This window comes from Homo sapiens, chromosome 10 (genome assembly GCF_000001405.40).
Source record: "Homo sapiens chromosome 10, GRCh38.p14 Primary Assembly".
NCBI classification, from domain to species: domain Eukaryota; kingdom Metazoa; phylum Chordata; class Mammalia; order Primates; family Hominidae; genus Homo; species Homo sapiens.
In genome coordinates this window covers 77,786,684-77,801,775 of record NC_000010.11, presented here as the reverse complement: position 1 = coordinate 77,801,775, position 15,092 = coordinate 77,786,684, and the positions used below count along the sequence as shown (strand labels likewise).

Here is a 15,092-nt window from a genome sequence, read left to right as displayed (position 1 = left end):
CATTGCTGGTGAGAAGTCATCTTTCCAGGCTCAGTGCTGAAGGCAGTGCCACCACCCGTCCACCACCATGAGTGGGTAGGGTTTTCTCTGCCTTCCTTTCTCAGAAAGAAACTTCTTAATTTCTTACCACACCGTGCTTCCCCCGTGTGGTTTTCTTTGTGTTTATCCTGCTCAGAAGGTGCTTAGCACTTTTTACATCTGTAGTTTGGTGGTGTGGTCGGTTTTGGAGATTCCTGGCCGCAGTTTCTTTCATATTGCTTCTGTGCTGACCTTGCCTCTCCTCGGGGTTTTTGTTCTTCGACAATACCCTGTCTGTCTCCTGTCTTCTGGGCTCTTTTTCTCCTGCATTTTCCACTTCTTTCTTTCTCTCCATGATTCAGCCAGCCTGGTTGTTTTCTACTCTTTTTTCCTGTTCATTATTCCACTCTTCTGTTGCATCCATTATGTTCTTACTTTCAGAAGTTGTATTTTATTTATCACTCTAGAGTTTCCACTTGGTTCTTTTTTACCAGGCTTTAATTCTCTGCTGAGACTTTCCCTCTTGTCATCTGTCCTCTTAAATACTTGAATCATATGTTTGTAAAGACTGCGTTTGGTAACTGTCATGTGTGGTCATCCCTGAGTCTCTTTCTGTGGTCTTTGTTTTTCTTGGTCCTGCCCCATGATATGCCTAGTTATTGTTTATTGAGATGTCAGAAGTTATGTTTAGGGGATTTTCAGGGCTCCGAGTGATGTTGCCAGCTTCCAGAGAGGGTCTGCCCTCTGCTCTGGAGATAGCCGCTGCTCGCAGATCACTTTGATCCAGCCACAGACTCAGCTGACCTCAGGCTGGGTTGCAGCTTTTGTGCAGCTGGTGGTTCACCTGACCCTAGGGGGTGGCCCACCAGTGGTCCCAGCCTGGGGTGTTCCCTAGGGCCGCTCTTCCCTAGGGAGCCTTGACTTCCAGTTTCTCACTCTTCAGCACTGGGAGGCCATGGAACACTGCTCAGTGTCTTAGTGACTGTCTTAGATGCTTAGCTTCTTGCTTTTCACAGCTTAAGAATTTGGCAAATGGCTTTAAGGGAAAACCTGTGATACCAGACTTAGTTCTTTGCCCTTCCCTTCCTCTGGAATAATGACCCACCAGGTCCTGGCAGCCCTGAACTCCGTTTTGATCTCACCTGCTTTGGAGATTTTCAGAAACTTTTCGTGGGTTCTCAGCCCTCAGCGGCGGCCCCGTGCCTGGGTTCTCAGCCCCTCAGCGGCGGCCCCGTGCCTGGGTTCTCAGCCCCTCAGCGGCGGCCCCGTGCCTGGGTTCTCAGCCCCTCAGCGGCGGCCCTCTGCCTGGGTTCTCTGCCCCTCACTCTCACTTTAGAAGTCTCCAGTTGCTCTGAAGGGGGAAAGGCCTGCAGAATGTCAGCTTCTAATACTCCAGTTTCCTTCTCTCCAGGATCTTGGCATCTCAAATTCTGTCTTGTCTCTGCCACTCTACGATGCCTTCAAAAAGATATTTCTCATTTTTTACCCAGATTTTCTAGGTGTTCTCCAAGGGATGCTGCAAGCTGTTCCATTATACCTGGGAGTGGTAATCCCTGTGTAGTAGTTTAAAAGTTACCCCAGCTAATTCTAATGCACAGTGGGTTTTGAATTCCTGCTTTAGTTTATTGCTTCCAACTGCTGCATAGCATCCCTGGTACCCCCCACCCTGCTGATTGTGCACCCACCTGCAATGGTCTAAGTGGACTCAACTCTCCACCACCCAGAGGACACTGCATGTCTTTATGCTTGCTCTTTTAGGGGCTTGTGCGGGAGTGTCTCAGGAATATATGGAGGACTGGTTTTCCTCTTATGTTAGTCTGCTAGGGCTGCTGTAACCAAATACCACAGGCCAGGCACGGTAGCTCACACCTGTAATCCCAGCACTTTGGGAAGCTGAGGCAAGAGGATCGCTTGAGGCCAGGAGTTTGAGACCAGCCTGGGCAACATGGCAAGACTCCCATCTCTACAAAAACTTTAAAAAACTAATCAAGTGTGGTGGCGTGTGCCTGTAGTCCCGGCTACTCAGGAGGCTGAGGCTGGAGGATCACCTAAGCCCAGGAGTACAGTGCTGCGATGAGCTATGATTGTGCCACTCCACTTCAGCCTGGCAACAAAGCAAGAGCATATCTCAAAAACAAAAACAAACCAAAAAACCAATACCACAGACTAGGTGACTTAAATAACAAGAATTCATTTTCTCACAGTTCTTGAGGTTGGAAATCCGAGATCTGGGTGCCAGTGTGGTTGGTTCTGGTGAGGGCTGTCATCCTGCCTTGTACGCAGCTGCCTCCTTGCTGTGTCCTCACATGTTGGAGACAGAGAGATCTCTGGTGTCTCTTCCTCTTAAAAAGCCGCAGTTCTATCAGATTAGGGCCTTGCTCTTCTGACCTCATTTAACTTACCTCCTGAAGACTCCGTCTCCAAAGGTAGTCACACTGGGGCTTAGGGCTTCAACATATAAATGTCGAGGGGACATAGTTCAGTCCACAGCACCTTTTAAAGAAAGCCATTGCCGTATGGTCTAAGGTTGGAACCCCCAGGACCATGCCTTTGCTCTGCCCTGATTAGCTGTGACCTTGGATAGGCTGTTTTTCTTCTCCAGTTGGAGTCAGTGACTCATAAGATGCTGTCTAGTCTTACAATTCTGTAATTGTGAGGACATCTGACAAAGAAGATTGTCAGGGAGGAAAAAGAATCTCCTAAATTGGTACCCCATAGTGTGGAATGTTAGTAATCATTAAGGGAGAATATGGTTTTTTTTAACCATTAACATTTTAATGTATTTCTTACCAGTTTTTTACTTAATACAACAAAGCTGGGATTACACTGCATTACACTGTTTTCATCCAGGTATTTCCACTATCATATTGTTAGCATCTTCCCATCTCAGTAATATTCTTCCAAACCATTCTTTTAAGCACTATATTGAATTCCACCCTATAGCAACTGTGCCATAATTTGAGAATATGATTCTTATACTAGTAAATGGAGGGAATGGTGACGTAGTGTCCATCAGCAGGGAAGTGGATAAGTCGATCCAGAATAAGTGTTAATGGGATGCCCAAAAGGAGCAGAGCGGCCCACGACGAATCACCAGGGATGCCTCCCAGAAACACAGCCCCGGACAAGGAGCGAGTTATAAAGTATCCACAGACACACTTAAACAATATATATTCTAGGTTTTCTTTAGCATATAAAAATCAGTTTATAAGAAGAACTAGGATACACTTCCAGCTCATAATAGTGGTTACCTTCAAGGAGCCCAGTGGGGACTGAGGTTGGGGAAGGGGTATCAGAGAGGAGTGCTGGCCTTATCCGTGAGGTTCAGATTTGTTACAGAGAGGATTTGTTTATGTAAACTCCTCTCGGAGGAAGTTCTTTGCCCCGTGACTCCTCCTCAGAGCCTTCACTCGGGACCACATGGGGTTCCAAGGTGGTGAATGTGACCACCAAACCCTCCTCCAGTTTTAAACAACAGAGCTGCTGGTCACCAGGTTAGGAAGTGCTGTGTAAAAGACTGTGTGGATGTATGTGGATAATGATCAGTTTTATTATTTTATTTATTTTTATTGAGATCTAGTCTTGCTCTGTTGCCCAGGCTGGAGTACAGTGGTGCAGTCTCGGCTCACTGCAACCTCCGCCTCCTGGGTTCAAGTGATTGTTGTGCTTCAGCTTCCTGAGTAGCTGGGATTACAGGTGTGCGCCAGCACACCCGGCTAATTTTTGTATTTTTAGTAGAGAAGGGGTCTTGCCTTATTGGCCAGGCTGGTCTCAAACTCTTGACCTCAAGCGATCCACCTGCCTCAGCCTCCCAAAGTGCTGGGATTACAGACGTGAGCCACCATGCCCAGCAGTGATCACTTCTAAAAAACACACACACAGGGACAGGGCAAGAGGAGAGGAGAGACTTTACTTACTCCCTGAGTTTGCCCACAGGTTGCTCTTCATGGAGCCTGCTGCTGCAGCTGGCACTGTGCTTGTGTTCTCCTGAGCCTTCTGCCTCCTGGTCCCTGTGCCTGCTCTGCAGTCACTCCTTGTTCTGCATATGCGTACAGATCCCTCCAGGCCAAGCCTCTCATGGACCCTTCCTCCCAAGCCTGCAGTCATCTTGTGCTCTGCCCTCCCCATCATCTCCATACTCATCCTCTTGCCCTGCTCTTTCTGGAGACTCTCATCCCACTTCCCTCCTGGGCCTGCCCAAGTGGTCTTTTCACCCTGTCATCCAGCCACAGTGTCTACTGAAGCCCGCCGCTCCTGGAATTGCCAGGCAGCTCTTGCGTGCTCTCTTGCTGTTCATGTGTTGCTCTGTTGTGACTCTAGTTAAAGTGTGTGCTTTTTAATGGCAGGAACTCTGTGTTCTATTCTTTATTATGTTTCTGAGATTCCAGCACAGTGACTTATACCAGGGAGACGCCAGGAAGATCTTGCTGGGTTTTAGACTGTGTCTCCCTGCAAGGACTTTATTCATTTGGTGCAAGGGGAGGTTTACTGCATGTATCAACTAGGATATTGGTTTGACTGCTTTAACTGAAACCAAATAACAGTGGCTTAAGCATAATGGGCAGTTTATTTCTCTGTCATGTACAAGTCTGAGCTGTGGTTGATGTGGGAGAGGCATTGCGTTCTGAGGATCATCCAGGACCCAGGTCCCTTCCATCTTGTGCCTCTGCCATTTCTTAAGGGTTATCCTCAACTGCATGGCCAGAGCTGGCTCACAGCACTCACCTGTTCTAGCCGTGCAGATTGGGGAGGCCTCACCTGTCACTGGGCAGGTCTGGGTTACACTGACCACACCTTCCTGGGGAGTGGGAGCTTTACCTGCCAAACCCCAGAGGCTGCCTTGCCAGAGAGCAGAGGAGAATGGAGATGGGGCAGGGGAAGCAGGCGTCGACCCACGAGGAAAAATCAGAGCAGAAGGAAGCTCTGGGATGAGTGGTTGAGACCAGCTGCCTCTGGTGTTCACAGAGGGCATGGGGGGTGCTCATGCTGGACTCCAGGGGTGACGATGCCCGGTTGTGCCTGGGACACGAGATTTTCAGTGCTGAAGCTGGGGGAGTCCCAGGCAAACCAGAGTGGGCGAGGTCAGGGAGCGGGGTTCCCCAGCCCCACTCAGGTCCTCCACTCCAAGCTGGGTCCGTGACGCTGCTGCTCTCTCTCCCTCAGATTCGGTGAGCCTGGCCTATCAGCGGGTCCAGAAGGTGGACTGCACCGCTCTGAGGCCTGTCCTGATTCTGGGGCCTTTGCTGGACGTGGTGAAGGAGATGCTGGTGAATGAGGCTCCTGGCAAGTTCTGCAGATGTCCCCTTGGTAAGGGGCACGGGGCACCCTCTGTGCCTACTGGGCTCTTTGTCTCTATGTCCCTGTCCACCTGCCTGCCCAGCTGTGCACAGTGGGTGGCAGTACCGGGGGGCAGATTTCACAGTGTTCCAGAAGCCTGCTGACATGGGTCAGATTCATGCATGGCAGGACTGGGTTACTGACAGCTGCTGAGCAGTGTTCTTCCCCTGCTCCCTCTGCTGGGGCTCAGCAGGGCCTGGGGCTCCCTGATTCCTGTGTCTGTGCATTGCAGAGGTGATGAAGGCCTCCCAGCAGGCCATTGAGCGGGGTGTCAAAGATTGCCTGTTTGTCGACTATAAGCGGAGAAGCGGCCATTTCGATGTGACCACTGTGGCGTCAATAAAGGAGATCACAGAAAAGGTACCCAGGGCTTCAGTCTGAGGATTAGGCATCCAGTATTAGACCTCCTGTGCACAGGTCTAGGCCCCTGGTCCGTGATCCTCTGCCCCAGCGGCTCAGACCTTCAGTGAGCCCACCGTGTTGTGTTAGTCTGAGTTCACCTGTGCCTGGGCTTGCCCTCATGGCTGCTGTGTGTTTCTGCAAGCACATCCCTTGGTGGGGATGGAGGAGTTCCCCTGTGTATGTGCCGCCCCATCTTCCTCTCTGGCAGGTGCGGGGGGTCTCATCTCTGATGAGAGTATTGAGCTCTGCGGAAAGGCCTCTCGCAGGGCATTCCGGAACGGGGTCCCCAAATGCATGTGCCGAACAATTTCACATGCACCTTCTGGGGACAGGAACGTGCCTTCCCTCAGGGTCCCTGCCCCTAAAAGGGCTATGACTCTCGGTGCCTTCGAACATCCTAGGCAGCACGAGGGCGGGGACGTCTGTGGGGAGTGCTGGTGGGGCAAACACTCGGAGTCCAAGGACACAGCCGCTCCTTGGGCTCCATTTCTCCAGGCTGCTCAGCTCGCTCGCTGGGCTTTGCTTCCCTTCTCTGTTAGATGAAGGTGTTGGCTTCTCACTGCTGAAAGTGGGCAAACTCTACTTGGGGGAATGCCCCAGTGGAGCATCTGGGGGTCGGGAGTGCACGGGCCTGCACTCCACCTGGATGCCTGGGACGACAGACATGACAGACATATTTCAGTCTCAGCCACACAAAGGCTCACCAGACTCTGGCTCTTCATTCGCTCAGTCTGGCAAAAATAAGGCTTCAGAGGCCAGGGTGGGGCAGGGCTTTCAGAAGGTCCCTGTATCTGGGCAAAGGCGGGAAAGGAAGTTTGGAGTTGGGCTGGCCAGCACCCCTAGCCCCCTAAGCCCTGGCTCCCAGCCTTGGCCTTCCTCACAGCAAGTGGGGTTTGTTGGGAGTTTCGTGGGTATGGTTTCCCCACGGTGTACTGTGTGGCTTTACTGCCTTGTTTGTGGGTAGAGCCCTGTGAGGTGAGGTGGGTCCTGCTGGTGGCAGGACAGGGGGCTGGCTGCCCCTCACTGCCCGCCAGGGCTCACTCTGCACCCCCCACCCCAGAACCGACACTGCCTCCTGGACATTGCTCCGCACGCTATTGAGCGGCTCCACCACATGCACATCTACCCCATTGTCATCTTCATCCACTACAAGAGCGCCAAGCACATCAAGTAGGTAACTGGCCCCCTGGGCTCCGCTGGGGCCTTGTCACAGGTGGGGCTGGGAGCCCAAGTAGGGAGCAGGGTGTGTTGGGGTGGGGGGTTGAGGAATGAGAGATGGGCCTATGGGTCTTGAAATAGGCAGTACGTGTAGAAAATGACCCTTCCCTGTCGGCCCTGTCCCCTACTCAGAGGTGGTGTCAGCCAAGCGCAGCCCCTTCCTCGCGCCCCTCCGCCATTTGGGTGCTGCCACTGTTTTTTGGGCATGGCCAGCTTGGTCTGCACAGCTCCCCTCTCCTGCCCCAGCCCCCTTTCCTCGCTACGTGCTGCTTAGGAGCAGGGGAGCCAGTGGCCTGGGCACAGTCCCACTCAGCCCCGAGCTGGCTCATGACTCAGGAGCCGTTGCCTTCGCTGAGCTTCGGCTCCTGTGCTGGTTGGGCCAAGGGCTCACCAAGGCCCTGCTCCATTTTGCCTTTCTGTGCTGCTGAGCTTCTGGGACCTGCGCTAGGGGCTGCTGGTGCATCTGTTCCAAGTGTGTGTGCTGGGGGGCCCTCCTTCCCCCATCTGCCCAGAGCTCCCCCGACAGCCTACAGGCTGTTGCTGTGCTTTATGTGGGGAGCACATGGGGCCTCCCTCCACAGCCTACCCCTGCCTTGATGGGGCCCCTGTTAGCCTGGACAGAGGAAGGAAAGAGGGCCTGGAGGAGGCTCAGTGCTCAGCCTGGTGTCTGGCTGTCCCCACAGGGAGCAGAGAGACCCCATCTACCTGAGGGACAAGGTGACTCAGAGGCATTCCAAAGAGCAGTTTGAGGCGGCGCAGAAGCTTGAGCAGGAGTACAGCAGGTACTTCACAGGTAGGTGTGCGTGGGCCTGGAGTGGGGAGCAGGCAGCAGGGAAGGAAGCAGAGGCTTCCTAAGGCTGTTTTCTTAGCCGTGGAGAAGCCCGCACTTTCTACATGCTCCCAAGTGCTGTCATGAGCACGTTCCTGACAAGTCAGGTGTTCAGATTGCAGTCCCTGGCCAACGTCAGGATTCTTACAGGTTGAATGTTAAGCTCACCGATCTTGGCCTCAGGTCCTGCCTGGCTTGCCTGCTCATTTTCACACGTGCAGTGGTGGGTCTGTCTCATAGCACAGGTGCAGTTTAGTGCAGCCACAGTGTCCCCAGGCAGGGCGGGGACTGGAGCAGCCCCCAGTGTGCCAGCAGTGTGGGCAGCGGAGGCTAGGGGCCCATCTGTCCCTAGCACCCTCCAGGGCAGTCCCGTTTTGCAGCGGGATTTGGCAAACCCCCCTCCAAAAAAAAAAAAACAAAAAACAAAACAAAAAAAAACAATGCTGTCCCCTTACCATCTCTGGTCTTCAAAGTGAAACAAACTCAGTGAAGTTTGGTTCTATTTTACCTTCTGGCCTTCAGCCTCTTTGGGAAAGTCTGTCATTTGCAGGGCATTAGCATTTGCAGTCACAGAGGATGGGACAGGGATTCTAACTGCATTGTGGAGAGTGTTATGATCTAGTCCAGGGACCTGGGCTTGGTGCCCATGTGTGTGTAGGTATGTGCAGGTGTGCATGCCTCTGTGTGTGTGTGTGTGTGGGTGTGTGTGTGAACTTTCATTTCCAATTCCTCACAGACTGGTATTTAGCCAAATACACTGACAATTCCTAGAGAGATGAAAATTTAAAACTCTAAGTCTTGCAAAAGGTAAGCTCTATTTTTTTCTTGTTAGATTCAACAGACATAAAATTACGACGTCCTGTTTCCATAGCAGTTTCTAGACACTCACTGTCAATTTCTGAGCATGCCTTGTTGCAGTAGGGGCTTGGTTTGTGTCCAGGTGCTGTTATGTGGAGCACACTGGAGTACCCCTGGCCTGGTGTCTATAGACCCCTTTGTCAAACTCCTATAGTACAGGGCTGGCCCAAGTTGGCGCCATCATCTTTCTGTGACTCTCCTCTTGGCCATGAGCTATCTGGCTCCTTAAACTTGTCGTTTCCTGCAGAATCCTGCTAATGATTAGACCACCGCCACATGTCCTCCAAACTTCCTTCTGATGCCCTGGGATTCCCCCAACCATTGCAAACCCAACCCAGGGTGTTAACTGCAGTGGGGTGGGCAGTTTACATATGAGTGATCAACTCAAGAGGGGCAATTTTCTTTCCCAGTTTCTTGCTGGTGAAGGAGAGTCAGGTGGGGATGGAGCAGAGTGCCAAGGAGCACAAAGCAGACAGCCACACAGTAGAAAGAGTGCAAGCTGTACTGCCTTGCCTCAAACCTGGGGTCTTACTCTGAGCTGAATGACGTGTCTGGGGGGCTCTTTTGCAGGGGTCATCCAGGGAGGAGCCCTGTCAAGCATTTGCACTCAGATCTTGGCAATGGTCAATCAAGAACAAAATAAAGTCCTGTGGATTCCAGCCTGCCCGCTCTAGGAGAATGCTGTGCTGTGGATGACTGCAGCTGGCCGCCTGAGGGGACACCAGACTCAGCTCTTTTCTAGCGACTGAAAGTAGAAGTCTGTCCGTCTATGAACATGCGGGGGAAGGATCCGGAACCAGGACCCAGAAGCACCTCCTTTGTAGACAGAGGGCCACGGCTGCGTGCGATCCAGGCCCAGGCCCACACACTCTGCCCGTGTCACACGTGTGCTTTAACACAAAACAGATAACACTAAAGACGGGTTCAGCACCCACCTTTCTTTAGCCAGCTGATCAGAGATGCTGCAAAGAGAACCTTTCGGATCACTCGTTTACAAGCCTTTTCTAAGTATTTGGTGGTTTATGTTTACTTGAACGGCTCCATGTTGCCGGTGCCCAGCCCCTGTCCCCTCTGTCAACCCCCTGTCGCTTTGGTGTTGGTTTCGTTCCCGTCTTCAGCAAAACGACCTTGGAACCTCAATGGGGGCTGCTTTGCTTTGGGAGGTTCTTGTTGGTGGGACCAGAGCTTTGACAAACCTCCTGCTCCTTGGTGGCACCTCTCCTGGAAGGACGTCACAACTCCAGGTGCTCAGACTGCCTGTGGCAGCAGAACCAGTGCCTTTGGCATTTTCCTCCCACAATGGGGAAGGTGACTTTGGCATTCTTACAAACTCGTCTCTCGGCCTTTCTCTCCTGCCTTCCACAGCCTCTCGTTTCTCCTCCATCTGTGCTTATTACTTGAGGACTGTGTCTGCTCCGTGAGAGCTGCGTGGGCAGGGCTGCAGTGGGGTCCAGGTGGTGTTCAGCTGTGCTGATGCCTGCCATTGGGTCCTCCTTAGGCTCTGTAAGTCGTGACAGCCTTCATCAGTGCAATGTTTGCAGGGTAATTCTTAAACTTTTTAGAGGGTGGCAGGTACATCAGTTCTTTTTGATATGAAAACATTCATGTTTCAGACATTGAATTGAGAGCTTTTAGGGGAAGCATAATGGTTATTGTCACTATCAACAGTCTAAAAAGAAAAACTGAGGTCTTTTTAATCTTGATTACAGCACTCACGGCATGCACCCTACTCAGTGTGGGTGTCTTCGTTTGGGGGCTTTTTTTTTTTTTGCACTTCTGAGGCTAGATATGTCTGGCTGAAGATTTGATGTGGTTCCTCCTTAAGCTATGCGTCCTGTTAATAATAGGTACTGTACTGGGCTCTGTGTAAGTGTCGTTGGGGTAGGACCTATATTTTAATACTGTTCCTAACATTTCATTTTACTAGCGAGAAATCTTTGATTTCATTTTATTCTTTGTAATTCTAGACACTAGATTGTAGTTTAGCCATAACTGATGTTTTTTAAAAAGGGATATATTTTCTTGCACAGTTGTTCAAAAAAGAGACAAGTTTCAGTCCTCAATGCTGTCCTTTGTTTTACAGGTACAAGTTTTCTAGCTCAGACAAACTATGAAAAACTGTAGACTATTCTCAAGGTATTAACTCGCAGACCCTCTGGGGGTAGGGGCTGTTTTCTAAGTTACAGGCAGAGTGGGACTGAGATGGTACAGTGTGCACAGACAGGTACTGAGCTGACAGACTGGGATTTTCTGTACTAAAATGTTACTTTGTATCAAAAGTTAAACAGGCTTTAGTACAACAAATAAAGGTCAATTTCTGTAAGGCTGTGTTTGAAGATGTGAGTTTTTAATCTCTTCCTAGTCAGTCAGCTTTCCTGTATTTCTAAACTTGAGACAGCTTCTCCTCTGCAGCACGTAGCTGGAGTTGGCTGATGTGTAGGTTCTTTCTGTCTCACATGACAATTTGCAGTCCCTGCTACCCGCTGCATCAGCCTCTCTCTCACTCCTTCCTGCCCTTCCCTGCCACCCATCTGTCCAGTGTGGCATGAACTGGTGACTGCAGCCAGGCTGCCCATCTGTGTGAGACCCAGATTCTGCCCTCTGGCCCTCACATTCAATTCTGCAGGCTTGGGAAAAGCAAAAGGGAGTGAGCTGAGTGCTCTGGGTAGCATTCTCAGTCAGGGCCCTGTCTGGGGCCCTTGGCTGGGAATGGCCCCACCTGCTTGGGGGCTGCTTTGTAGTACCTGACAGCATCACACTGGGAGATCACCCAGCATTGCTGGACTCCCAGAACAGCCCACGTGGGCCTGAACTCCGTGTTGCAAGGTGATGAGGAAGTTGGGAGGCTGGGCCTTTAGCTGCAGGAAGCCAGGTTGAGGCCTGGGGCAGAGCAGAGCCCTCCTTCTCTGATCCTTTTTCTTGGAGGGGCTTGGGGGCAGAATGTTCTCCAGAAGCTTCACTCACACTCCACTGGTGGCCAGGCTGGTGGGGGCAGACTGATGTGGATGCCTCCCTCATCATTTCCTGCTGGGTGAAGTTCCACTGTGGCCCTGCAGTCTTGATCTCACCTGTGGCCACGGGGTGTCACAGAGCTGTGCGGGGCTCTGGTAGTTGGAGTGGGCCCTTGTGTCCATAGGGACAGGGCCTGCCTCTGTCTCCTTGACAGCCCACACCCTGCGCCATCCTCAGAATGGGCAGCAGAGCCGTTGATATATTTTTTTTTTGAGACGGAGTTTCGCTCTCGTTGCCCAGTCTGGAGTGCAGTGGCATGCTCTCAGCTCACTGCAGCCTCTACCTGCTGGGTTCAAGTGATTCTCCTGCCTTAGCCTCCTGAGTAGCTGGGATTACAGGCGTGCGCCACCACACCTGGCTAATTTTGTATTTTTAGTAGAGACGGGGTTTCTCCATGTTGGTCAGGCCGGTCTCAAACTCCCGACCTCAGGTGATCTGCCTGCCTCGGCCTCCCAAAGTGCTGGGATTACAGGCATGAGCCACCACTCCCGGCCTAACACGATGGATTTTAAGTCACTGACTGGGCAGATGGGGGTGTAGGGGTTGGGGTGGTGGCTGCTGGTTTTAGGGCTGGTTTCTTTCACAGAGCTCAGGTGTGATGCCAAACCTTCACAGTTGCACTTAGGCCATCGTGATTTTATTTTCTTCTTTAGATTTTTCTGTAATTTCCAGATTTTCTACAGGTACCTTGGTTTTCTTTTATAATTACAAGGGGGGGAAAATCCTATGTCTTTTTCAGGTGGAAGGCACTTAAGTCACTGAGATCGCTCTTTCTGGACACACGGGCCTTGCAGGGCAGCCCCGAGACATGCTGTCAAGCAGCCCTGAAAGGATTTGTACCCTGGTGGGTTAGAGGCTTATTTACCCCACATGGAGACTGTGCTGGGGGGCGGGGTTGTGGGCACAGCCAAATGGGCCTCCTCCTGGAGGTGGTGTCTGTCTCACACTGGCTCAGATCATTCTGGAAAGGCAGAGCAGATTCTTCAACTCCAGCCATGAGACCAAGAAATTGAATATGAGATGACCTCTGCGGCCCCTTCCCATGCTAACAGCTATGATTCTGTGATATGGGTGGGCAACAGGACTCAAATGGAGCTTGACTTTGCTCCTGGCCTAGCAGAGACTGTGGGAAACCCCAGCTTCAAGGCAGGAGGAGACCTCATGCTTAGGCGCCGACCCTGAGCAGCTCTGGAGTAGAAGCCGAGCACCGGCCAGAAGCCTCAGGCCTTTCTTTCCAGCCAAGACAAAGCTTTGAGGCTCAACAGCAGTGGGCTAACCAGAGGCTTGGGGAAGCCGAGCTGCCACCTCCTGTGGGGTTGATGAGACACAGGGCCACAAGGGTCATGATGTCAAAGATGAAGAGAAACGTGAAGTACAGGAAGGGATGCAGAGTGAACATAAACCGCAGACAAGGGTGCACGTGCTGGCGTGGGAACGGTGGACCTCTCAGCAGATGGGGGCTCCAGGGTGGGTGGGCCTTCTGTACTGCCCCCTTCTGCTACTTTTCTGGCCTGTGGGTTCCCTCACCCTTCTCTTGTCCGTCCATACTCTTTCATTTGCTCTCCCTTTGTAGAATATAGTCTCTGGCCTCCTGATGGTTCCCCTTTAGTTCTCCCTATTACTATGTGTTTTTATCTCTTTTTCTCCCCAACTGTGAAAGATGTCATCCATAGAGAAGAGCATATCCAATATAAGTGTATAGTTTTGTTATTAAGTAGAGATGGGATCTTGCTATGTTGCCCAGGCTGGTTTTGAACTCCTGGGCTCAAACAGTCCTCCCACCCTAGCCTCCCCAAGTGCTGGGATTACAGGCATGAGCCACTGTGCCTGGCCATAAATGTATAGTTTAAAGAGTAAAATGGATAGTGTTTCCATCTTTAAGGAACAGAACACTACCAACTACCTTAGAAGCACTCGTATGTCTTCACCCGGTTGAATGCCCCACCCTCTCTACCAAAGTAAGTGCTAGCCTGACCTGTAGTGAATAATTTCCTTGCTCTTCACATACTGTTCATTTTTAAAAACATTGAGCATCAAGCACAGATTAGCTGTGTGGGGAAAGCACAGTGTTTCCAATGTTGAATGAAGTCTGCTGGAGAACATAATGTGATCTCAAGGTCAGAGTGGACTTCAGCTTCTCCAAGAATTTACAAGGGGCCCTTCTGGGGAAGCCAGGGAGCAGCAAGGCTTGAATGAGTCCTGGGCGTAGCAGGGCTGCCACCATCAGGGCCCGTGGCCACACTATCCATGGACCAGACCCTGATCATCTGGCAAGAATGTGGATGGAGGGTGCCGGCTGCTGAGTTCTGTTTTTGTAGTCCCCACAGCTGACCTTTTGATTTCGGGAGGACGTCAAAGCCGAGCGCTGCTGTGGGATGGAGTGAGGATCTTCAGCTGATCTGGAGGGCAGGAAGCTTCTCCATCATGTCAAGGTAAGCCGAGTAGAAAGAATGTGAATGGGATCGCCCGGGTGACCTGTCCTCAGCTGAGCTGCGGGAAGCCCGCAGGGATCTTGGTGCTGAGGGCTCCTGACGTGTCTGTCCTGAATCCTTGCTCCAGGCCAGAATCACTGCCCTCGGGGTCTGGTGCCAGCTCTCATCTTGACACCTCTCCTCTATTTTGCTGAGAATCTCCTGGGAATGTTGACTTCTTTTGATTTTCCTGTCCTCCTCTCCTTCGATGGATCTGTTTCCTGTGAGGAAACACTTGAGGAGAAAGGCTTAGCCTCGGATCTGAATTCTTAATCCACAGGAGGGTCACTGGGTTTATCTTCTCCTATGCATCATCTTCTTGAACAGGGCTGGATGAAGTAAAAACTAGCAAAGTCTGGCCGGGCGCGGTGGCTCACGCCTGTAATCCCAGCACTTTGGGAGGCTGAGGCGGGCAGATCACAAGGTCAGGAGATCGAGACTATCCTGATTAACACGGTGCAACCCTGTCTCTACTAAAAATCCAAAAATTTGATCGGGTGTGGTGGCAGGCACCTATAGTCCCAGCTACTCGGGAGGCTGAGGCAGGAGAATGGCGTGAACCTGGGAGGCGGAGCTTGCAGTGAGCCGAGATCGTGCACTGCACTCCAGCCTGGGCAACAGAGCGAGACTCCATCTCAGAAACAAAAACAAAAAACAAAGAAACTAGCAAAATCTGTGTTCATCCTTGTGTGTGGATTGATATGTATGGGTTGGGAGGCTGGAGGCTGGGGTGGACACGCAGACCCAGAGAGCCAAAACAGCAAGGGCCGTGAGCACCTGCTGCAGGCCACTTCCCTGTTCTTTCTGGAGCTTCAGTTATTTATGTGTTGGGGATCCTGGACAGTTCCCTCATTTTCTCTTCTCTTCTCTTTTTCTTTTCTTTTCTTTTTTTTTTTTTTTTGAGACAGAATCTTATTCTGTCACCCAGGCTGGAGTGCAGAGGTGCA

The 15,092-nt window shown here is 51.5% G+C and overlaps 1 protein-coding gene across 15 annotated transcripts in view; it reads left to right on the top strand.

The window, feature by feature from the left end:
- DLG5 (discs large MAGUK scaffold protein 5) overlaps positions 1–10,985 on the top strand; it is a 149,946-nt gene extending 138,961 nt beyond the window's left edge. For all 15 annotated transcript variants that reach the window (XM_047425998.1, XM_005270276.5, XM_006718056.4 and 12 more), the window contains 5 exons: positions 5,182–5,325; positions 5,588–5,715; positions 6,818–6,927; positions 7,659–7,768; positions 9,233–10,985. In XM_047425998.1, the coding sequence (XP_047281954.1) occupies positions 5,182–5,325; positions 5,588–5,715; positions 6,818–6,927; positions 7,659–7,768; positions 9,233–9,336 (596 nt within the window). In that variant the 3' untranslated portion in view covers positions 9,337–10,985. The remainder of the gene's footprint in view (positions 1–5,181; positions 5,326–5,587; positions 5,716–6,817; positions 6,928–7,658; positions 7,769–9,232) is intronic.